Source organism: Homo sapiens, chromosome 14 (assembly GCF_000001405.40).
Source record: "Homo sapiens chromosome 14, GRCh38.p14 Primary Assembly".
Classification (NCBI taxonomy): domain Eukaryota; kingdom Metazoa; phylum Chordata; class Mammalia; order Primates; family Hominidae; genus Homo; species Homo sapiens.
In genome coordinates, this window is record NC_000014.9 from 28,387,694 (window position 1) to 28,412,750 (window position 25,057).

The following is a 25,057-nucleotide window of genomic DNA, read 5'->3' on the forward strand; positions in this document are numbered from 1 at the left end:
GCAAAGGACTTCCAGTACTGTGTTGAATAGGAGTGGTGAAAGCGGACATCTTTGTCTTGTTTCAGTTCTTAGGAGGAATGATTTAAACCTTTCCCCATTCAGTGTGATGTGGGCTATGGGTTGTAGTATATGCCTTTTATTATTTTGAGGTATGTTTCTTCAATGCCTAGCCTGTTGAGGTTTTTTATCATGAAGGGATGTTCGATTTTATCAAAAGCTTTCTCTGCATCTATTGCAATGATCATAACGTTTTGTTTTTATTCTATTTATATGATGAAATACATTTATTGATTTCCGAATGTTGAACCTTCTTCACATCCCTGAAATAAGACTTACTGGATTGTAGTGTATTATCTTTTTGATGTGCTTATGGTGTCAATGAAGAGTCAAACTCTGCAAAATATTTGAAGAGATTTATTCTGAGCCAAATATGAGTGATCATGGCCTATGACACAGCCCTCCGGAGGTTCCAAGAATATGTGCCCAAGGTTGTCTAGGCACAGCTTGGTTTTATACATTTTAGAGAGGCATGAGACATCAATCAAATACATTTAAGAAATACATTGGTTTGGTCCAGAAAGGCAGGAAAACTCAAAGTGTGGGGGCTTCCAGGCTATAGGTGAATTTAAACATTTTCTGGTTGACAATTGGTTGAGTTTGTCTAAAGACCTGGGATTGATAGAAAGGGCATGTTCGGGTTAAGATAAAGATAGTGGAGATCAAAGTTCTTTTGAAGTCTTATAGTGGCTGCCTTTAGAGACAATAGCTGACAAATGTTTCCTATTGAGATCTTAGTTAATCTCTTTAGGATTGGGAGGGTCTGGAAGAAAAAGATCTAGCTGTGTTTACTAGAGATTCTTTACATATGCAAATATTCCCCCACAAAGAAGAGTTTTGCAGGACCATTTCAAAATATGGCAAAGAAACATGATTTGGGGTAAATATTTTATTTTCTTCCTTGTCTCATAATGTTATGCCAGAGTCAGGTTGGAAAGTAAGACACAATATATAGAGTCAAATAAAATTCATCTGATGAGAATTTATGATTTGTAGGGCATGACTCCCCAGGCCCCTTAGACAGGAATTTGGACGAGAAAAAAAATCAGAGTTTAGTCCTCAATGGTTTTGATTTGCTAGTATTTTGCTGATGATTTTCTCATCTGTATTCATTAGGGATATCGGCCTGTAGTTTTTAGTTGCTGTTGTGTCTTTGCCTGATTTTGAAATCAAGATGGTACAGGTTTTGTAGAATGAGTTATAGAGAAATTTTTCTCCCTCAATTTTTTGGAATGGTTTCACTAAGATTCTTACCAATTTTTCTTTGTATGTCTAGTAAAATTTGGCTGTGAATCCATTTGGACCTGGGCTTTTTATTGTTTTTGTGGGAGACTTTTTTATCACTGACTTAATTTCATTACTCATTATTGGTCTGTTCAGGATTCTGTTTCTCCCTTGTTCAATCTCAGGAGGCTGCATGTTTGCAGCAATTTGTGCACTTCCTCTAGGTTTTCTAGTTGTGCACCTAAAGATGCTCATGAGAGTTTCTGATGATCTTTCATATTTCTGTGGTATCAGTTATAATGTCACATTTATCATTTCTGATTGTATGTATTTGAATCTTCTTTCTCTTTTTCTTGGTTAAACTAGCTAGAGGTCAAACTATTTTATCTTTTCAAATAACAAACTATTCATATCATTGATCCTTTATATTGGTTTTTATTTTGTGGTCTCAATCTCATTTAGTTCTGCTCTAATCTTTATTATTTATTTTCTTCTGCTAGATTTGGGGTTGGTTTGGCTTTGTTTTTCTAGTTCTTTGATGTGATACGTTAGGTTGTTAATTTGAGATCTTCCTATCCCTTTGATGTATTTAGTGCTATGAAGTTTCCTCTTATATTTTGCTATCTCTCAGAGATGTGGGTATACTGTGTCTCTATTTTCATTTGTTTCATTTTTTTTAATTCTGCCTTAATTTCATTATTTAACCAAAGATGATTCAAGAACAAGGTGTTTAATTTCCATGTATTTGTATAGTTGTGAGACTTCTTCTTGGTTTTGACTTCTACTTTTATTCCACGCTGTCCTAGAAGATACTTGATATTATCTTGATTTTTTGAACTTATTGAGATCTGTTTTATGGCCAGAAATATGGTCCATTTTCAAGAATGTTGTGTGTGCAGATGAGAAAAACATATATTCTACTGTTGGGTAGAATGTTCTGTAGAGTCTGTTAGGTCCATTTGGCCTCAAGTCCAGTTTAAGTCCAGTATTTCTTTGTTGATTTTATGCCTCAATGATCTGTCTAGTGCTGTCAAGGAGGTACTAAAGCCCCCCACTATTATTGTACTGCTGTTTATCTCTTTTCTTAGGTCTGGAAGTGTTTGTTTTATGGATCTGGGTGTTCTGATGTTGGGTGCATATATATTTATGATACTTATATCTTCTTGTTGAATTGGATCCTTTATGACCTTCTTTTTCCCTTTTTTGTTTTTTATTTAAAGTTTGTTTTGTTTTATATAAGTATAGCTACTTCTGCTCATTTTTGTTTTCCATTTGCATGGTATATCTTTTTTCACCCCTTTGAATGTATGGATGTCCTTATCCATTAGGTGAGTGTCTTGTAGAGAGCCAATGTTGGATCTTGTTTTTTTAATCCAATGCCAGCCTATCTCTTTTAAATGAAGCCTTTAGGCTATTTACTTTCAAGATTAATACTGATATGTGAGATTGTGTGCCTGTCATAGTATTGTTACTTATTTGTAGCCTCAGTTGTGTAACTGCATTGTAGGATACAATTGTACTTTTGTGTGCTTTTATAATGGTGACTACTGTCCTTTTGTTTCCATATTTAGAATTCCTATGAGTATATCTTGTAGGGCTGGTCTAGTGGTGATGAATTTCCTTAGCATTTGCTTCTCTGGGAAAGGCTGTATTTCTCCTTGACTTACGAAACTTAGTGTGGCAGAAAGTAGAATTATTGGATGTTTTTTGTTTTTTGGTTTTTTTTTGGTTGTTTGTTTGTTTTCCTTAAGAAGGCTGAAGACACACCTCCATTCTCTTCTGGCTTGTAAGGTTTCTGCTCGAGGATCCTTTGTCAATCTGATGGAGTTTCCTTTATAAGTAATTAGATGCTTCTCTCTTGCTGCTTTTAGGATTTTTTTTTTTCATGTTGACTTTGGATAGTTTGATGACTATTCCTTGATGAAATTCATCTTGCAGTCTCTCCCAGGTGTCTCTGAACTTCTTATATTCGATGTTTTATTCTCTAGCTAGACTAGAAAAGTTTTCTTAAATTATTCACTAAAATGTGTTTCCCAAGCTTTTTACATTTTCTTCTCCCTCAGGAATGCCTGTTATTCATGGGTTTGGTCACTTTACATAATCTTATATTACTTGAAGGCTTTCTTCATTTTCTAAAATTATTTTTTCTTTATTTTTGTCTATGCTAATTCAAAATATCAGTCTTAAAGCTCTGAAATTTTTTCTTCTGCTTGATTTTGTCTTTTTAAAATATTTTAACTATGTTTTATAACTTTCAATGAATTTTTATTTCCAAATGTTTTAATTGATTTTTTAAAAAATCTATGCTTTTATTAAAGTTTTAATTCATATTCTGAATTTTTTATCTGATTTCTGTGGGGTTTTTTTTCTATTTTCTCTTGGATCTCATGGAGTTCCTTATAATCTATATTTGGAATTATTTACCTATTGATATTGTTTGGCTGTGTTTCCCCACCCAAATCTCACCTTGAATTATAATAATCCCCATGTGACAAGGACAGAGCCAGGTGGAGATAATTGAATTATGGGGGCGTTTTCCCCCATACTGTTCTCATTGTAGTAAATATGTCTCTTGAGAGCTGATGGTTTTATAAATGGAAGTTTTCCTGCACAGGCTCTTTTTGCCTGTCACCATGTAAGACATCCCTTTGCCTTCTGCCATAATTGTGAGGCCTCCCCAGCCATGTGGAACTGTGAGTCCATTAAACCTCTTTACTTTAAAAATTACCCAGTCTCAGGTATGTCTTTATTAGCAGCATGAGAATGAGCTAATATATCTATCATTTCAGAATTTTTATTTTGTTTAAGATCCATTGCTGGAGAGTTATTATGATTCTTTGGGAGTATTGAAATACTGCTTATTTGGGGTGTGTGTTTGTGTGTGTGTGTGTGTGTGTGTGTGTGTGCTAACTCTTCCTCATCTGGAGAAGCTATCACCTATATTTCATTTTACTTTCATTTGGCTAGGACTTTCCCTCACCACATGAAAGTATCACTGTAATGTATGTTATATTAATACATGATCATTTGGCTTCAATTCTGGATGCTTTCAGAGGACCACACTTCTGTTTGTTCCTTTGTTATAAATAGCTTTTGTACAGTGGCTTCCTCAAATGTTGGTTATACATTTACTCATTTTCTGATGTTCTTCTTTTGTTTACATAGATCTAAGTTTCTGACCTATATCATGTTCTCTCAAATGAAATTATTTTAACATTTCTTGCAAGGCAGGTCTACTGGCAATAAACTCTCATTTTTTTTGTTTTTCTGAGAAAGTATTTTATCTTCACTCTTGAAGAACAATTTTTGCAGGGCACAGAATTTAGATTGAAGAGTTATTTTTTTCTCAACACTTTATATATTTCCATCTAAAGTAGTCTCTTGTTGCTTGCATAGTTCTGAGGTAAACCCAGACATAAATCTAACTTTGCTCCTCTAGGGATAGAATTTTATTTCCCTCTGGCCTCTTTCAAGACATTTTTATGACACTGAAATTTCAATGTAATATGCCTTGAGGTCATTTTTGTTGTTTTTTTTAAAAAAGGTGGGTTTTTTTTTTCTTTTGGCATTTATCCCACTTGTTCTCTGAGTTTCTGGGATCTGTGGTTTGATGTCTAATGTTAGTTTGGGGAAATTTCAGTCACTAGCCTTTCAAATATTGCTTCACTTTTTCTTTCTTTCTTTCTTTCATTTTTCTTATCTTCCTGTGGCTCTTATTAAACACATGTTTATACATATGTTATACCTTTTGTAGTTACCTCACAGTTCTTTAGTGTTCTTTTCTATTTTCCTCAATCTTTTTTTTTACTTTATTTTTAGTTTTGGAGGTTACTTTTGATACATCCTCCAGCTCAGATATTTTTCCTCAGCTGCGTCCAGGCTACTAATAATCCCCTCAGAGATATTTATTATTTGTATTCCAGTATCTCTCTGTTTACATTGCTCATCTGTTTTTTCATACTGTATATTTTATTCATTATAAAAAAAAGATGTGATGTAGTTAAACCTTTAGTAATGTAGTGGTAATATTTGGGGATAGGGGAAGCATTCTGCAGTCTTATGATTAGGTCTCAGTCGATTAGTATGCTTGTGCTTCTGAACTATGAACTTCATGTGTGATTCTCATGTCTTTTTCCCTCTCCATTGGGTAGGATAGGATACCTAGAGTGGGCTCGAGTTGAGTATTTTCCTCCTCCTAAGTGGGAGTCTAGAGCCAGTTAGAGATGGGTGCTTTGGTTCCTTGGGACCAGTTAGGCTCTAATAAAACCCAATCAGGTTGATACCTGGTTAAATAACTTCTCCTGAGAGAAGAACATAAGAAGAACAGAATGGTCTAATGTATTTCAAAATAATTTCTCTTCTTGTTGGCCTGCTCTAAGAAATATTGTACTGTTTCTGTTGTTCACTGTGAGAACCTGGTAGCACTCCTGAAGGTAAAACTCGCAAAAGTACAAAGGTCCCATCTCCACCTTCAATCTTCCTGGAGTTCTCATTTCTCAGATTTATTCATGCTGGACCTGCAGCAATTCATCAATTAAAGTTCAGGTTTTCCTGTTCTGGCACTGCTTCTTGCAGGGATTTCAGCTTCTGGGTTTCTGCTCCATTAAGCTGTGATTCTCTGTATTCATCTATCACTCTCTCCAATTTTGGGGACAATGGTTTGCCCTGGAACCAAATTTCTCTTATGGATTTAAGAAGAGTTGTTGATTTTTTTCAATTATTTTATCTTTATTTTTTGCTTTTTCCTTCTTTTAAGAATGGAGGGGCAACTTTCAAGCTTCTTACATATTACATAGGAAACCAGAAGTCTTGAATGCCTTTTATTTCTTTTTCTTACATAATTTTACCGACTAGAACTTCCAGTGCAATCTTGAGGAGAAAAGCAAGAGCAGACATTCTTATTGTAATGTTGTGATACTAAAGGGCATATTAGTCTTCTCTAATTGCCATAACAAAATACTACAGACTGGGTGGCTTACCCAACAGACATTTATTGTCTCCCAGTTCTTGACACTAGAAGTCTGCAATCAATATACTGGCAAATTTGGTTTCTGGTGAGGACCCTTTCCCTGGCTTGTAAATGAGTACCTTCATCCTAAGTTCTCACTCTCTGCTGACATGAAGAAAAAGAGATCTCTGATGTCTTTTTCCTTGTTTTATAAGGATGCTAGTCCTCTTGGATGGATGAGAACCTCACCGCTGACCTCGTTTAACATTGATTACATCCCTAAAGACCCTATCTTCAAATAAAGTCACATTGAGGGTTAGAGCTTCAACATATACATTTTAGGGGAAAACAATTAAGTCCATAACAGAGAGAAAGCTTTCATTTTCAGGTTTGTACATACTCTTTATCACATTGAGGAAATTCCTTTCCATTCCTAGTTTTTAAAGGGTTTTTATTGTGGAAACACTGAACTTTCTCAAATGCTTTTTTTTTTTTTTTTTTTTTTAATATCCTACTTGGACATGATGTATATTCTTCTTAAAATGCTGTTGGATTTGGTTTGCTAATATCTTATAAGCAAGAAAATAGATGTATTTGTCTTCTTATAAGACAACAAGGGAGATTTTGTCTTATAAGGACAATGATAATCAGGGAGATTTTCATGTTTATTTATAGGGCATATTGGTCATTAGCTTTATTTTCTTATAATGTCTTGGTTTGGCTTTGGTAATTTTGACCTCAAAGAAATGAATTAGAAGATGTTCTCTCTTCTTCTATTTTTTGGACAAGTTTGAAAAGGATTGGTTTAAATCTTCTTTAAAATTTGGCAGAATTCCTATGTGAAACCATCTGGTTCTGATCCTTGGTCCTAGTTGTTGGCTTTTGTTTTTCTTTTTGTTGTTAATTACTAATGTAAGCTTTTTACTTATTCATACTTTCTATTTCTCCTTGAGTCAGATTTGGTTTCTAGGAATTTTTCCATTTCATATAGGTTATCTAATCTTTTGTTATAAAATTGTTCATATTATTATTTTATAACCTTTTTTTTGGGAAAAAGAGAAATGGGGTCTCACTATATTGTCCAGACTGGTCTCAAACTCCTGGCTTCAAGTGATCCTCCTGTCTCAGCCTCTGTTTTACAATCCATTTTCTTGCTGTTAGGCTAGTAGTAGTGTTCCTGCTTTCAGTACTGATTTTAGTAAATTTAGTTGTCTCTCTTTTTCTCTTGGTCAGTCTTGCCTAAGTTCCTCAATTTTATTGATTTTTATTAAAAGAACAAAATTTGTATCTCATTGATCTTCTCTACTGATTTCCTACTTTCTATCAACTTGTGCATTTTAATCTTTATTATTTTTATTATTTTATTATTTATTATTTTCTTCCTTTTTCTAGATTTTAGTTTACTTTTTTCCTTTTTCTATTTTTTTGAGGTGGATAGTTAGGTCACTGTTTTGAGATCTTTCTTCTGAATGCCTTCTAAAGGTAAATGTTTGGATTATAATACTTAAGGTAAGTGTTTCTCCTTGAGCGACTACTATTGCTGCATCCCGTATGTTTTCATATGTTGTATTTTGATTTTTATTTGCCTCAAAGTTTTTTCTAATTTACCTTATAATTTCTTCTTTGATTATTGGCTATTTAAGAATGTAATATTTAATTTCAACATATTTGTAAATTTTTCTAATTTTCTTCTGTTATTTCTAATTTAATTCTACATTATCCAGAGAAATTGTACTGAATAATTTAAATCTGTTTGAGCTTTTTGAGACTTGTCTTGTGGCCAAAGAAATGGTCTATCCTAGAGAATGTTTCATGCACAGTTGAAAACAATGTATATTTTGTTATTCCTGTGTGTAGTATTCAGTAGTTGCCTATTTGGTATAGTTAGGTTTTAATGTTGCTGAAGTCTTCTATTTTCTTGCTTATAATATGTTCAGTTCTGTTATCCATTATTGAAGCACTGCTAGTATTTACTTAATAAATTTTGAGTCTATCTTATTAGATGCATATATGTTCATAAATGGTATATGTTTTTTATGGTTGGCTCTTTAATCATTATATAATATCCTCTGTCTGTATAAAATCTTAAAGTCTATTTTGTTTGATAATAATATTGCCACACCAACTCTCTTTTGGTTGATCTTTTCAGGAAATATTGTTCTATCTTTTTACTGTCTATCAATTTGTGTTTCAATGCAAAGAATGTCTCCTGTAGACAGCATATAGTTTGGTTCATGTCTTCTTATCTGTCCTGCCAAACTCTGCCTTTAATTGAATAATCTATTTACATCTAATATAATTACTGATAAGGATAAAATTAATTCCAAACTTAATTTGGATAGTATGGAAACCTTTTATTTGTATAGCTACAACTGCATTTTTTGTTGTCATTGTCACAAATTAAATCTTTATACAGCATCCATCAACAGAGATGTATAATTATTGTTTTATGCAGTAGCCATATAAGTCAGATTGGAAACAAAAAGAATTACAAATAAGAAATTCATTAATAGTGACTTTTAGATTCACCTATGGTGTTACCTTAACCAGTGCTCTTTATTTCTTCATGCTTTGCATTATTTCTTTCTACAGCTGAATAATAATCCATTGTTTGTATATATCACATTATATATATCAATTTTTCTGTTTATAGACACGAGTTTTTTCTACATTCTGCCTCTTGTATATAGTGTTACAATAAACATTGGTGTACAAGTGTCTGTTTGAATCTCTTTCCTCAGTTCTTTTTGGAATATACTTAGGAGTAAAATTACTGTATCAAATGGTACCTCGGTCTCTAGTTTTTTGAAAACCACCAAACTGTTTTCATGGTGGCTGCACCATTTTCCATTCCCACCAACAATGTAGGACAATTCCAAATTTTCTACATCCTTAACAACATTTGTAATTTTTATGTTATTCTTTTAAATTATAGACAACCTAGTAGAAGTTAAGTAGACCTTATTGTACTACTGCACTATACTACTAGTGTATTGCCATTTCCCTAATAACTAATGATATTGAGCATCTTTTCATGTGTTTATTGGCCATTCGAATAGCTTCACTGGAGAAATGTCTATTCAAGTACTTTTCCCATGGTTTGAATTTGATTACTTTCTAATTGAGAAGTAAGAGTTACTTACATAGTAAGCCCTTTTTTGATATATGATTCACAAGTATTTCCTTGGATTATATAGGTAATATTTTTATTTATTGATAAAGTTATTTTATGCACAATAATTTTTCATTGATATTGAGTCTAATTTATCTAATTTATCTATTTGTTGTTGTTGTTGCTGCTGAGCATTATTCTGGTGTCTAGAATTTCCACTGACAAATTCAAAGTCATTCAGATTTATCCCTTTTATATATAGGTCATTAAGCCATTTTGAGATAATTTTTAACATATGGTTTGAAGTAAGATTCCAACTTCATCTCTTGCATGTAAAATCCAACCATCCCAGCACCATTTATTGAAAGGACTGTTCTTACCCCATTGAATGAACTTAGCAGCATTGTCAAAAATCAATTAACAATAGATAATATGAGTTTATTTCTGGACTCTCTTTTGAAATTTTTATTTCTTTATTGATATTGTCTATTTGATAAGATTATTTTTATGGCTTCATTTAGTTGTTCAAATATGGTTTCCTTTAGCTTTTTAAAACATATTTAATATACTTGATTTAAAATCTTTGCCTAAAAAGTCCAATACTTGGGCTTCCTAACAGAAAGGTTCTATTAATTGCTTTTCTTCCTTGTGTACTGCCCATAATTTCTTCTTCCTTTGCATGTTTTCTTTGTTGTTGTTGTTTTTGTTGTTGAAAACTGAACATTTGGGATATAATAATGTGGACACTCCCAAATTAAGATTCCCTTCTGTCCCAAGGTTTCTTCCAACAATTGTTTTATTTTTTGCTACTTGTTTATTCAGAGACATTTCATGAACAAATGTTATGAAGGCTGTATTCTTTATTTTATGTATTCACTGAACTATCTGTTATTTTAACTTAATGATCAGCTTGTTATTGGACAGAAATTTTCCTGAATGCCTGAAGTCAAAACAAACAAAAAACCAAATTCACACTCTCTGTAAACTACTTCTCTGTATGTATTGGGACACACAATGAACACTTAGCCAGGTAGTTCACAACTCTGTTTTAGCCTTTACTTTCTGCTTGTGTGAAACCTTAAGGTCAACCAGAGTTGAGATCAAGACCTTCTAAGATCCTTCTGAAGCATGTGCACAGACTTGGGCATATTTTTGGCCTTCTCAATTCCCAGAAATGTCTTAGATCTTTTCAAAATCCTTATTCCCCAAAGCATCCCATTTACCAGTCTTTCTCCTAAGCTTTTGGTTAATCTATGTTTGCTTCAACTGTTATCCATTGACCCCGGCAACAATGAATATATGTTTACCTATAAATGCTTCTTCCAAACACTCCTTGGTAGCTGACTCAGCATCAAGAGAGTTCCAAGTAAGGAAAAATAAATGTAAACTCTTAAACTGATCCTACAGGGACCAGGTAGATAAAAAAAAAAAAAAGTGTCAAAATTCCTTACAAATTAAATCTGGCATGTTTTTCCCAGTACTTTTATCAAGAATCTGGGTTGTTAGGGGACAATCTTCAGGGCCACTGCTGAGTGGGGAAGAGGTGCACGGGACTAGGGTTACTTAGAACACCACAGATCTCACTGTTCTTTCTGATATACAGCTGTTTTTGGTTTTGGTTTTGTTTTATTAAGTATTCCATGATTGCTTCAGGCTTTGGTCCTTTTCCAGAGCTCCAAAAAAGTTGATTCTGGCAACTTTCTGCTTGCTTTTATGGAGTAACAGACTTTTGAATTTGCTTACTCCACCACGTTTGCTGATGTCACTCTGAACAGTCAACTATTTTTTAAAGAGCTTTAAAATAAGAAAGATGTCTTGTAATTATTCATGTGATTAGCATTTTTGGGGTTCTTTATTCTTTGTGTACATCTGTAGTTTCATTAGAATCATTTTTCTTTTAGCTTTATAAACGCCTTAATATGTCTTATAGTGTAATCTTTGCTCAATAAATTCGTGAATCTTTTGTCTAACAAAGTTATTATTTGCCTTCAATTTTGAAATGTTTTTAGCTGAGTAAAAAACTCTAAGTTGGCAATGTCCTTTCTTATTATTTTAAAGATGTTGCTTGACTATACCATTATTTTCAATGAAACATCTGCTGACTTGCCTGTTCCTTTTTATTAACATGCATTTTTTCTCTGTATATTTTTAAGAATTTTTTATCCATTTTATGGGTATATTAGTTATGACTTGATTTAGTTTACATCATTTTTCTTGTAATCAGGGTTCATTATTATTCTTAGAACTAAAGGTATAATTTTTGTCAAATTTGACATTTTTTCAGCTTTTTTTTCAAATATTTTTCTATCACCCCAGCTTTTTTCTCTTCATTTAGTACTCCAAATTCATGTAGACAGTTCCCAACTTATTATAGTTCTATTTAAGATTTTTCAACTTTAAGATGGGTTTATTCGGATGTAACCTCTTCATAAGTTCAGGCACTTCTGTGTTTATTACGATGGTTAGACTTAAAATTTCTTGACTTTAAGATGGATTATCAGGGTATTAAATGCATTTTCCAGTTGCAATGAGTTTATCAGGACATAGCCCCATCATAAGTCAAGGACCTTTGTATATTAGGTTGCTTGACGTTGCCCCTCAGCTCAACATTTTTAATATTTTTTCAATCTGTTCATTTTCTAAAGATTATTTTTGGTCTTTAGTTTTGTTAGTTTCTATTGCTATGTCTTCAGATTCACTAATATTTTCTTCTGCCCTGTCTAATCTTCTATTATTTATCTACTATGTTTTTTATCTTGGACTTTGAAGTTTTTGTCTTTAGAATTTGATCTGTCTATATTTTACAATTTGACTACTTAATATTTGAAATATAGAAGATGTAGACATAATATATATGTTGATCATCTTCTTTGTTAATCCTAACATCTATTTCAGTTCTTTTTTGATTTATCAACGTTTTCTCTTCTAGTCTTTTTGGAAGATTCTTTTCCCAAGCTCAGTACTGATCAATATTCAGTTGAATATTTGAGGAGGATACTTCAGAGTCCTCTGTCTCTGCAGCTCTCTCCTACTTGGTATTCCCTAATAATTCTAATTGCATTGGTATTCCCAGGCTCCATAGTCCATCTTCTCAATTTAAGGAGTAAGCTGGGGTGTTATGTATCCCTTTCCTTGTGCTATAGAGAGAAATTCTTTCAGGCAGTATACAGAAAAAATTTGAGGGATAATATCATTTTTGTTAGACCCTCAGGAATAGCTGTCATTAATTGCCTATCTCCAGTGTGTTGAAAAAACTGTCTCCTGTCCAGTTTTTTCATTAGTTTGACTAGGGCATTTTGCTTATTTCCTGTTAGTCCATCTTGGCTAGAAGCATAATTGGCAACTTTTAATGTAATAGCTAAATTATATACTAGCAAGAAAACAATCTTTTAATGTGCTACAAAGTAGAAAATTAAGAAATATATGATTAAATATTCAGAGAAGAAAGTGGAAAAAGATAAAGATAGAAAGGAAGTATATTAAAAGATTATAATTGTAGTGTTTAAGTAGCCTGTTTATTGTAACATTTCCCTTTTTTTCTCTTTCCAAATTTTCTCCAAGAAGCAGGTGTAAGTAAATTGTATGTGTATAGTGAACTTCTCTTTTTTTTTTTTTTTTTTTTTTTCTGAAAATAAATGTAGAATGGGTTTTGACATTATTTTATTTGGAAATTAAAGCTAAAACAGAACCCAAATCTCCTGACTTCCATTACAGTAGTTTGCCTGAGGTTGCAAAAGGGTCTAATAAGGAAGATCTGTACTACGCTTTTTGACAACACATTGAAGACACAGATCATAGCACTATGGCTCAAGATTATAATACCAAATATACGCAACAGAGACAGGTGCTACTCATCCTTACACTTCTCCTGCTCTTTCTTTTATTTATTTATTTTTTAAATATGAACATGTGTCACAATTTCCTGTCACGAGAGAGGCAGCCCTCTTGACACTTTCCTCTGTGGCTCCATTAGCTGCTTCCATCTCACCACTAAGGATGTGGAAGGAGCCATGGAAACTCTCATCCTGGAGCCCACAGGTCCCTTCCTAGGCCTGGCTCACTGTAAAGTATGGGGGTACCATGATTACAAAAGGGGTGTGCTTCTGAGGCCAGGTAGATTTGGTGCCTTCTAGAACTCTATGTGCTCTCACACAGGTGATGAGATACCTGCTGCTTTTCAGAGAACTTGATTGCAATGGCTGGGTGGGAGAGGTATGAACAGAGATGGGTTCGCCCTGGGGGAGAGAATGGACAGAAGTGGGTTCACCCAAGGACCAAGATGGGCTGGCCCCAGAAGAGTGCAGACAGATAAGAGAAGGGCTCCACATGGGGTTTTAGGCCCACAAGGTCTCATGACCTGCCAGGGCCTGGGGCCAGGGACCACTAGGGCTCATGTCCAACTGTGCAGCTGCTCCTGGGGGCCCTTGGCCATTGGCAACCCCTAAGCCACCTCCCCATGATGTGTGGCCTACCCCCCATCCTTTATTTCTTTCTTTTCTCCCACCACCACAAATTTGCAGTGGAGCTTCCTATATTTGGGAAAATGGCAGGGGTCAGCACAATCAGAGGGCTAATCCTCGTCCTGGGAAAACCATGGTATCTCCCCTGCCAGGCAAATATTGCTCACTCTTAACTGTCATGGTACACGCAGCAGCCAGGCAGCTGACATAAAGCCACTCTGGTGTCTGCGTCCTCTTGGGGTCTTAGGATTCTCACAGGAACTCACTCTAGCCAAAGTTTTAGCACAACATTTCAGAAGCGGCTATTTTCTGGCCTGGCAGATATGATCCGTGCAGTGTTTTTTTCTAACCATTTTAAGCTCATGGAATGTTTCAGGATGGCCCACTGTGATGATGACTGATGGCTAGTCACTTTTGTAATGGAAACTGGGTCCCCTGTGCACTGGCTTAGCCCCATTAACATTTCTCAACCCTCCGTTGGATAGATTACTGACTCTTTTCATAAGCTTTCTGACCTTGTCTTTTTTTTTTTTTTTCTTATATCCCTTTATTAAATACACACACATACTTGCTCAAAATGGTAGCAATTATTTATATCAGTAGTTCTCAGCTGGGCATGATTTTGCCGCCAATGGACATTTGGCAATATTTGAAGGCAGTTTTACTTGTTACAGCTGGGAGGCACTACTGGTATCTAGTAAACTGAGGCTCTGCTACATATCTTTTTTTTTTTTTTTTTTTTTAATTTTTTTTTTTTATTATACTCTAAGTTTTAGGGTACATGTGCACATTGTGCAGGCTAGTTACATATGTATACATGTGCCATGCTGGTGCGCTGCACCCACTAACGTGTCATCTAGCATTAGGTATATCTCCCAATGCTATCCCTCCCCCCTCCCCCGACCCCACCACAGTCCCCAGAGTGTGATATTCCCCTTCCTGTGTCCATGTGATCTCATTGTTCAATTCCCACCTATGAGTGAGAGAATATGCGGTGTTTGGTTTTTTGTTCTTGTGATAGTTTACTGAGAATGATGCTTTCCAATTTCATCCATGTCCCTACAAAGGACATGAACTCATCATTTTTTATGGCTGCATAGTATTCCATGGTGTATATGTGCCACATTTTCTTAATCCAGTCTATCATTGTTGGACATTTGGGTTGGTTCCAAGTCTTTGCTATTGTGAATAGTGCCGCAATAAACATACGTGTGCATGTGTCTTTATAGCAGCATGATTTATAGTCCTTTGGGTATATACCCAGTAATGGGATGGCTGGGTCAAATGGTATTTCTAGTTCTAGATCCCTGAGGAATCGCCACACTGACTTCCACAATGGTTGAACTAGTTTACAGTCCCACCAACAGTGTAAAAGTGTTCCTATTTCTCGACATCCTCTCCAGCACCTGTTGTTTCCTGACTTTTTAATGATTGCCATTCTAACTCGTGTGAGATGATACTTTGAATGAAGTAATTGGATTTGCCAAGAGAATGCTTTAAAATTTAATCTTCTGTAAGAGCCCTTTAGTAGAGAAATATGGTGCAGATGAGGCAAACACTCTGCAATAGTTCTCATAGTAACCCAGGCACATTTCTTCCAGTAAATTGTTACTCTGGTCCTCATCATTTTGGCTTCTGTGACCTTACAAATATCCCTAGATGTGCTTTTTGCTATTTGTTTTATTTTACAAATTTGAAAAATAATATAAATATCTATGGCTAACTCTTTTTTGTTACTTTATTAAGGAGAATTACAAGATTGCATATGAAAATAACTGATGAATAAGATGTCTCATTCAAGGGCATATAACAACTTTGTGTAACACTGATTATGGTTAATTTTCACTGATAACTTGCTTTTATATTTAATGTGACTAAATTATGCAATGTGACTTTTTGAATATCATTTTAAGCACCTTTGAATTAATAGACCTATATTATCTATGAGTTTCCTGAGCCTTAAATTTTAAGAACATGCATAAAAATTCTATCAATAATTTTTAGCATCCCTAACTTTTAATTTTTTCTCAAAGAAAATGCATGTATACTTTGACCTCTGCTCTGTGGTGTGTTGCATCAGCTTCTTTCATTGTTATTCCCCAAGTGCCTGATTGATCATGCCCAAATGGCAGCAGGTCAGTTAGCTGCAGCTGGAAGTCAGTAGATTGATTCTCATCTCCCACTCCAATATTCTCTGACCTTGACTCATTTAATTATAGGTTATTGGAATACAAAGTTGACAGAATTATTTGCTGTAAATTAAATGTAGAGAGATTATATGTAGAAAAATAGAATTAAAAAGACAATTGGCAAATTTCTATATGATTTCTATAAAATCAACTTAAAGTAATGTTTGCTCCAATTAAGTCCACAAACTCTGTTATCTCTTTTCATGTCTCTATTTACCCCTCCTTAGTTAAATAAAATGAAGTACCTATTAGAACAATGTGTGTAGGGTTCGCGATATTATCAGTGATAAACAGTTTATGGTAAAAACAATGTGCAACTTTGATCTACTAATACAAGTCATTCATTTATTCATTCATTCATTCAATATGTTTTTAGGCTCTGATATGTACAAGATCCTGTGCTTGACATTAGATATATATCATGCTGAACAAATTATATACAAACTCTGCCCTCAAAGTGGCTCTAATCCAGTGAAAAAACACAATTGCATGTTTTCAAATTGTTTATTTAGTTATCCATAAAGATATTTCTATTGTCTTTTAGGAGGCTTTCTGCCATAGTCTCATTGACGGAACCATCTGCACTCACTTGTTCGGTGTTTCCTGTCACATCATGGCCAGAGCTCAGATTTTTCCTTGTTGAGCCTTATTAGCCTATGTAGGAGTTAAAAGCAAGTCTAACTAAAAATTTTCACAAAAATGCCTTAATTTTGCTTCCTGAATTCATTAAAGGTTCAGAGTTCCTGTGGCTTCCTGAATCCAATAAAAGTTCAGAAATTTCTGTACTTCAGGATATTTCAGCAGTGTCTGCTTAGTCCTTTCTGCAAATCTAGTTTGTTTTTTCCCAATTCTCTGGCATATCAGAACACAGTATTTCACACAAATTGCCTAGAAATATATTTGCAATTTAAAATTCCAGACAGGCAGGCTTTGTTTACTTTAACCATTGTTAGGAAATTGTTTTAAAATATAGACTTTTCTTCCTCCTTAAATGGTATACACAAGGTTTTTTTCTTGTTGACTCAGAATGTGAACTTTACTTAGTGTTTTAAAATATATAATACCACATACTTTATTTTTATATTCTCAGTGATTATTTTTTTACCCATCTCTATCTTCTCTCTGTCTTTCTAGTTTGCTGACTTTTTTTTTTTTTTTTTGAGACAGAGTCTCGGTCTGTCGCCCAGGCTGGAGTGTAGTGGCGCGATCTCGGCTCACTGTAAGCTCAGCCTCCCGGGTTCACGCCATTCTCCTGCCTCAGCCTCCCGAGTAGCTGGAACTACAGGCGCCTGCCACCATGCCCGGCTAATTTTTTTTTTTTTGTATTTTTAGTAGAGACGGGGTCTCAATCTCCTGACCTCATGATCAGCACGCCTCAGGCTCCCAAAGTGCTGGGATTACAGGCGTGAGCCACCGCACCCAGCCTGCTGAGTTTTATGTACTATAGGCTATAAAAACTCTCTTCAAATTTTTGAAGTTATAGAGCGTAAGTAAAAGTAAATTTAGCTCTGGGTTAAAAATCTAAGGGTTTCTTTTTATGTCACAAAAGACAGTGCTAGAGAAAAGCAGTTTCATAATGTTACATGCTCCCAGGGATTACTCAAATCTGACCTCTGAGTAAATCAGAAGTAGTATTTGGGAAAATTTTAGTGCTTTACATACTATACTCTGGTTGTAAATGTCAACACATGAAATCTAGGATAGACATAATTAATTTTTCTATTTATTATTTCTTTAAGCAGCCATATTTTGAGATTCTCCTATGTACCTGAATCTTCAGAGAGCACAGGTGAGTGGATTCAAAGATATGATACATTAGCTATCTTTGATTGTACAATGCATTCATAGTTGAGGAGGTGAATAATGGATAATGTTTCAGCAGTTATTTATTTGTTTTTTTAAAACTGGGCTTTAGGCCAGACACAGTGGCTCACGCCTGTAATCCCAGCACTTTGGGAGGCCGAGTTGGGTGGATCACCTGAGGTCAGGAGTTCGAGACCAGCCTGGCCAACATGGTGAAACCCCGTCTCTACTGAAAATACAAAAATTAGCTGGGCATGGTGGTGGGCGCCTGTAATCCCAGCTACTCAGGAGGCTGAGGCAGGAGAATTGCTTGAACCAGGGAGGCAGAGGTTGCAGTGAGCCAAGATCTCGCTACTACACTCCAGTCTCGGTGACAAGAGAAAAACTCCGTTTAAAAAAAAAAAGGCTTTAGATATAAATATGAGATTCAGATGGAAAAACAATAAAGAAACCACATTGAAAATGGTCAACTTAGGGACTAGATAATAATTTGTAATATAAGGTGCATGAAAAAGAAAACAAAATACTATATAGAAAATGGAAATAGAAAACAGTTTTAGAACAGGACATGAAGAATGAGATATCAAGATAAGGAGATTAGAATTTTCCCTGTAGGAAACGGGGTTTTAATCAAGAAAGTGATAAGATCACATTTGTTCTGGAAATATAACTCTGAAGATAGTACCTCAAGTAATTATTATTTCAATGGATTAACATAATTTTTTAACTGATAGAAAACAATAAATATATTTTTAAATCCATCCTTATAATTACATATTACTTCTTTAGGAAATAGATATTGCCTATATTCTATATGGATCTTGTTTGCCAGCCACCAACTTGAAAACTCTTAAATAGCTCTTGGCAGAGTTTCCAAAAATGACTAACAGAAGCCAGACATCCAGAAAATGCATGTCTTTTTTGATTTCCCTAAGTCTCGGGTAGGTGGTAATCTCATATAATTTCTCAGAAAAACCTGCTCACTCAGAGTGTTTATAAATTTGCCATATGGTATTTAAAACCTCAAGTCAAAGTAGTGTTGGAAATCGTATAGACAGAACCAGAGCATGCTGGTTAATGCTGTTCTCCATTCAGGAACCATGGAGATTTCTTTGGGTGCCAAAAGCTGAAGCCAAAGAACCTTAATATTTGACTTTTACTCTTTTGTTTTTAATCAGCTGCACAAACCAAGAATTGCATTAGAGCCTAGAGGTTTTTCTTCCTCACATAAAAATTAAACATAGAAACATAATTTTTCCAAATCTACCCCATACCAGAATGCTTCCAAACTAATTTATGTAGAGCTATGTCTATTCATGTGCCTAATTATCTTCACTGATTATTTGCAGGTGTCAATGAATGAGAAGCCAGGGAATGGGTCCATTGGCTTATAATAAATATTGAAATGACTTGTAAAATGTACTGTGATTGTGACACGTGATTAAAAAAGGAAAATATAAATATTTGTGTAATTTCTCTCAAAATGCCTTTATACAACAAAGATTATACATGCAAAAACTACAGAACTTCTTCTGATCATTGGATAAAAGAAATCTGTGATGGAAGATGGTCTGAGATTAGGGGGACTCAATTTCTTCCCTCATGAATAGAAAATACATTTACATTATGTCATATGAAATTATTGAACAGCTGCTTGGAAAGAGAGAAAAACAAGAACACCAGCCTGCCAAGGGGATGCAGTGCTGACATGAGATCAGATGCATAGAGTAAACAGAAATGGCATTCAGGAAGGGTGATAAGCAATCAAGTAAAGACCAAAGTGAGATGCTCTGACCTTATATTTAGCATCCGTGCCAAATTAGCATAGCTGTGCAGTGTACTAGAAAATTAAGTGGAAAAAAAGGACAAAGTAAGTGTAAAATCAAAGCAGAAGTTGCACATGTTTGGAATATCTAAAATAATTATGCTCTTTCATATCCAGAGGGCTACACTGTGGTCAGCTCATCTTTTCATGGGGAGCCACAGGTTCAAAAGAAAATACAATGAGCTTGACCTATACTAATTAAACAGCAGCAGTTTACTCTCTCTGGGTCTTGGCCTAGATGAGTCTGAGTGGTCTCGGGGTAAAGAGGTGACTTGAAGAGAGGAACAAAGAACCTTAGCTTTATTCATTATGCTACCCTCATTTTCTTTCCTGCTCAGCCACAGATCATTAACTCAGCAAGTTTTCTTTCCACACACCGAGAGACTGCTATACCCAGTTTAACATATATGGAGTCTTGTGATTTGTCAGAAAGCTGCAAAGGTAGAAAAACATGAGGTAAATCAGTCTTTTGTGCTCTATTTTTTCACCAATATGCTAATCATTCCTTAAGAGTATGTAAATGAATTTATCATATGCCCTAGAGCTTCCTGAAGTAAGTTATTTGAGCAGAGGTAATTTACTTCAAAAGAGAAGGAGCAAGATTCTTTTTATTTGTCTTTTAGTCTTAACATTAAATCAAAGCTATTCGGAGAGGTGAAAAGAAAATTAAGATGCTGTTCTATAAAAGTAGTGGATACCAAGTTCAAATCTGATCGCAGAAAACGGCACAGCACAGAGAATGTTTCAAAATAATTAACAGCTGTGGCTATCTTTCTAACAAACTTAGAAAGATATGTTAGAAATCCCTTAGCAGATTGCCACCTGTTCTCTTGCAGCTGGCTCCTATGGAAAAAAAAATCATAATGAGTGTAATCAGTTCTCTTTCCCAGCGTCCTAACATAACAATGAAGTCTGCAAGGGCTACCTACCAAGACAGCATAAACTTATTATCTGTGCCCAGATCTTTTTATTTTTTAGGAGATCAACTAATCACAGTCAGTTTTTCTCAGCAGGAATCATAGAAATTGTTTACACTTGGAAAAAGAAAGAGACTAACATCCTGGAGCCAAATTTGTAAGAGGTCCACATTCTGGGGTCCCACTGGGCAAATGCATCCTCCAGCAACATCTGGTTTCTCCTAAGTTTCCTCTTTTCTTCACACTACTAGTGCTTACTCCTGAGAAATTCAAGTGTGTTCAAAAGTAAAAGGGAACAAAGGCAGATCTATATATGGGCTCTGCACTCCAACATTATTTATGTTATAAATAGTCAGAGAATCTTGTGATTGTCATGATTAGGAACTACCATAAAACTCAATACCTTTTGCTTTCTTATCTTTTTTCCAAGAACTGTGATGTCTCTTTTTATTAATTATGCAAGAAACTTTCTGCTTACTTTTCTTTCTCCCTTCAATCTGGATGTTAGAAACACTCATCTAGACGTGTCTGTCACAGGAGCCTAAATGCTCAACATCTCCTTCTGGCAGATGTGTCCCTGCCTGTGGACTCCTGATCAGCAAAAGGGTGTTAGATCAATCTTTATATTTGTCTAACCACCGAATAAATCAGCAGACCCCTACATGCCTATCCCTGATGTGGCCTATGGGAAGGTTCTTTTCAATTAATTAATAATAATATCTGTCATTGATTTGGACTGGAAAATGCAAAGATAAGTGCTGGTAGAGACAGAATGAATGAAGAATGAAAAAGAGGCTGAATAGATTATGAAAAAGAAATCAGAAAATTGAGAGCAGGAGAGAAAAGGGAAGAACAGTTTCTGGACCTGCCTTGAATCTAGATCTCTTCTATTCTAATCTACTTAAGTAATAAAACTTTATAATAAACCCTGTTTTTTTCCATAACATGTATAACTGTTTTTTCTCTCATGAACATAATACAGGAAATATATTAACAGTGCCTATACACCAGGATATTTAAAATATATATACTTTATTTTGCATAATCCTATTCACTCACTGTTTCAGTTCTTTTTCCAAGAAACTCCTAAGGAAGCTTTTTTTCTTTCTTTCTTTTTTTTTTTTTTTTTTTTCAAAAAGCTCTTATTGAAGCCCTTAGGGCAGTGATCCTCAAAGTATAGCTCTGAGACCAGTCCCATGAGCATCACCTGGAAACATGCTGGAAATGCAAATTTCCAAGCCCAACTCCATACATACAAATTTCCAAGCCCAACTCCCCACATCCATAGGATGTGGATAAACTAGAATAGAAACTTCGTGTGGGTGGGGCCCCAAAACCTGTTTTTTCAGCAAACTCTTCTGTACTTGGACCCTCCTACAAACTAAAATTTGAGAGCAACAGCAATATGACATTGAAAATTATGGGACTATATCATCTCTATGTTCTAAGTTTAAAAAGAATATGTGGACTGAATTACATTAACTGTTAAATGTATTAAAAAGTGGTTTACTCAATCAAAAATTTACTGAACAATACCTAATTCAAGGTAGTGAATTAAGGTTAAGAAAATCATGAAAATAGTAGTCACAGCCAGGTAGAGGAAGCTGTGCCTGTAATTGCAGCAATTTGGGAGGCCAAGGTGGGAGGATCACTTGAGCCCATGAGTTGGACATCAGCCTGTCAACATACTGAGACTCTTATCTCTACAAAAATAAAACATTAGCTGGGCATGGTGGTGCATGAATGCAGTCCTAGCTACTTGGGATGCTGAGGCTGGAGAACAACTTGAGCCTAGGATTTTGAGGCTGCACTGAGCTCTTATTGTACCACTGGACTCCAGCCTGAGTGAAAGAGTGAGACTCTGTCAGAAGAAAAAAAAGAAAGGAGGAGAAGGAGGAAGAGAAGGAAAAAGAAGGAGGAGGAGGAAGAGGAGGAGGAGAGGAGAAGAAAAGGAAGAGAAGAGGAGAAGAAAAGGAAAAGGAGAGGAGAAGAAAAGGAAAAGGAGAGGAGAAAAGAGAAAAGAGAGAGAGAAAGAAGAAAAAGAAAGAAAGAAAGAGAAAGAAAGGGCTACATATGATGATATATTTGAAAATAGACATATTTACCAAGTTTTAGTGCATGCAGAAGAAGTCATTATAGATGTCAAGGAGATGGAATCTGAGCAGAGAAAAAGCAATTTCTATGCACATAGCAAATTGTTATACTATACGTCGTGGCAGCTAGTAGTATTTTCCCAGCAAGTGATAGGATAATCTGGAGAGCAATTTTTCTTTATCATGACACATGATTGCAGAACCAATGCAGTATGTCTTCCAATTTTTTACCAACTACTTTGTGCTTCAAATCAGAAAGATTTAAGTAATATTGAGATCTAACCAGAGTTCATATCAATAGCTTTCTTATGGAACCAGTGTACAATTAGAAACTCCATGATATTTAAGAAGAAATTCTATGTATACTACCTTCAAGATACCATATCTGTTGGGAGCTGAAAAGGCCAAAGGGATTGTGACCAACTCAGCATTTCACTGGAGGCTATATGATCAAACAGCAAACTGTTTATCATGAATGCAGGATGTGGGCAAGTTCACAACTGTGCCTGCCACCAGGAGGTTTGCTGAGGGCGGTCACTCCCTGGCGCCTGGCCCCTTGAGGTTATCTACTGGGACATCTAGAGGCTATTGTTCAAGGCATGCAGTCTTGGACCGAGCAGCTGACCTCTTCTTCCACCCCCACTTCTCACAATCTCTTTTGCCTGATAAATATGGAGAGCTGTGTAAAGCTCAGGACCCTTGTCTACTAGAGGCAAGGTGCTCCCTGACCGCTTCTTCTAAACATACTCTTTTGTCTTTTGTCTTTATGCCCACATTTGTCAACCTTTGTTAAGTCCCCCAAGATCCATGCAGGTAACAAGTGGTGCCCCAGAACAGGGACTCTGAGGACGTCGACAAGTGACGTCTGAACACAGGGACTTCAAGGATTTGAATGAAGAACGTCTGCTGGAGCAGATAAACTGAAATTGACAAGGCGAACGGGGACCCCAGGATGAATCTACAAGCAGTGGATATAAGGTCAGTGCCCTAAAGAGGTACTGGGAACAGTGCTTTAAAGAAGTACTGGGAACGGGAAGTTTTCTGAATCAAGGTAACATGGGGCAGAATTTGTCTACTGAAGAAAAACATTATGTGAAGTTGCTTAAAGTTTTGTTAAAACAAACTGGGGCTCAGGTTAGTTCTCAGACATTAACTAAGATGCTGCAGGAGGTTATTACACATAACCCATGGTTTCCACAGGCAGGCACTCTTGATGTGGAAAATTGGGACAGAGCAGGAGAAGGATTAAAATGGGCTCATCAAAAGGGTCTTAAAGTTGATTCTTCTGTTTTCCCCACTTGAAGTTTAATTCATACTGTACTTCTACCATTATCTCATTATTCTGTGGGACAGCAGGCTGAGTCTAAAAATCTGAAAGAATCTGTTGACCCACCCACAGCACCGATTGAAAATAAAAGACAGGAGAGAGAAGATAAAAATTGGCCTATACTGCCTCCTTCAGTTGCGGAAACATCTGTACTGCCTCCTTTGGTAGCAGAAATAGAGACCCCAATACAAAGAATTTTACACTCTGCTGCCATAGCTGGAGAGTCCTTAGGACCTTGTGCTTTTCCTGTTTCTGTAAGGACTGATCCAAATAATCCACAGCAGCTTATTCATGAACACACTCCACTAGAGTTTAAGTTGTTAAAGGAATTATAAGCAAGTGTAGTAAATAATGGCATACAGAGCCCATTCACTTTAGGATTGCTAGAATCTGTGTTCGGTGCTATGCGTCTTTTACCCTTTGATGTAAAACATTTGGCATAAACTTGCTTGTCTGCTAGTGCATATCTGACATGGAATTTAAATTGGCGAGAAATGTGTGCAGACCAGGCTAGAGAGAACCGTGATGCCAGACATGGAGACATTACAGAGGATATGCTATTGGGTAATAGCCCTTATTCAGACTGGAACATCAAATGGCACTCCCAGATGCTGTATCAGCAGTGTGCACAGGCTGCTAAACATGCCTGGACCACAATTCCAGAAGAGGGAGTCCCAGTACATCCTTTTTACATATTATGCAAGGGTCACAGGATCCCTATGTGCAATTTCTTGTAAGATTACAAGAGGCAGTGAAGCATCAGATTCCTCATGCCACTGCTGCAGAAATGCTAACCGTAACTTTAGCTTTTGATAATGCAAATGTGGATTGTAAACATGCACTGGCACCTGTGAGGTGTACAAAAAACTTGGGAAATTTTCTCAGAGCTTGTCAGAATGTAGGAACTGAGCTTCATCGCTCTTCAATGTTAACTGAAGCTGTGGGGAAAAGAAAGAGAGATTAGATTGTTACTGTGTCTATGTAGAGAAGGAAGATATAAGAAATTCCATTTTGATCTGTACTAAAATAAATTGTTCTGCTTTGAGATGCTGTTAATCTGTATCTTTAGCCCCAACCCTGTGCTCACAGAAACATGTGCTGT

At 35.6% G+C, this 25,057-nt stretch overlaps 1 annotated feature.

Annotated features, from left to right (window-relative positions):
- Positions 295–1,266: an enhancer, noted in NCBI's record as "NANOG hESC enhancer chr14:28857194-28858165 (GRCh37/hg19 assembly coordinates)". NCBI's record gives its function as "activates a minimal SCP1, AML or CMV promoter by ChIP-STARR-seq in naive H9 embryonic stem cells {active_cell/tissue: H9 hESC(naive)}" and the evidence as "EXISTENCE:reporter gene assay evidence [ECO:0000049][PMID:30033119]".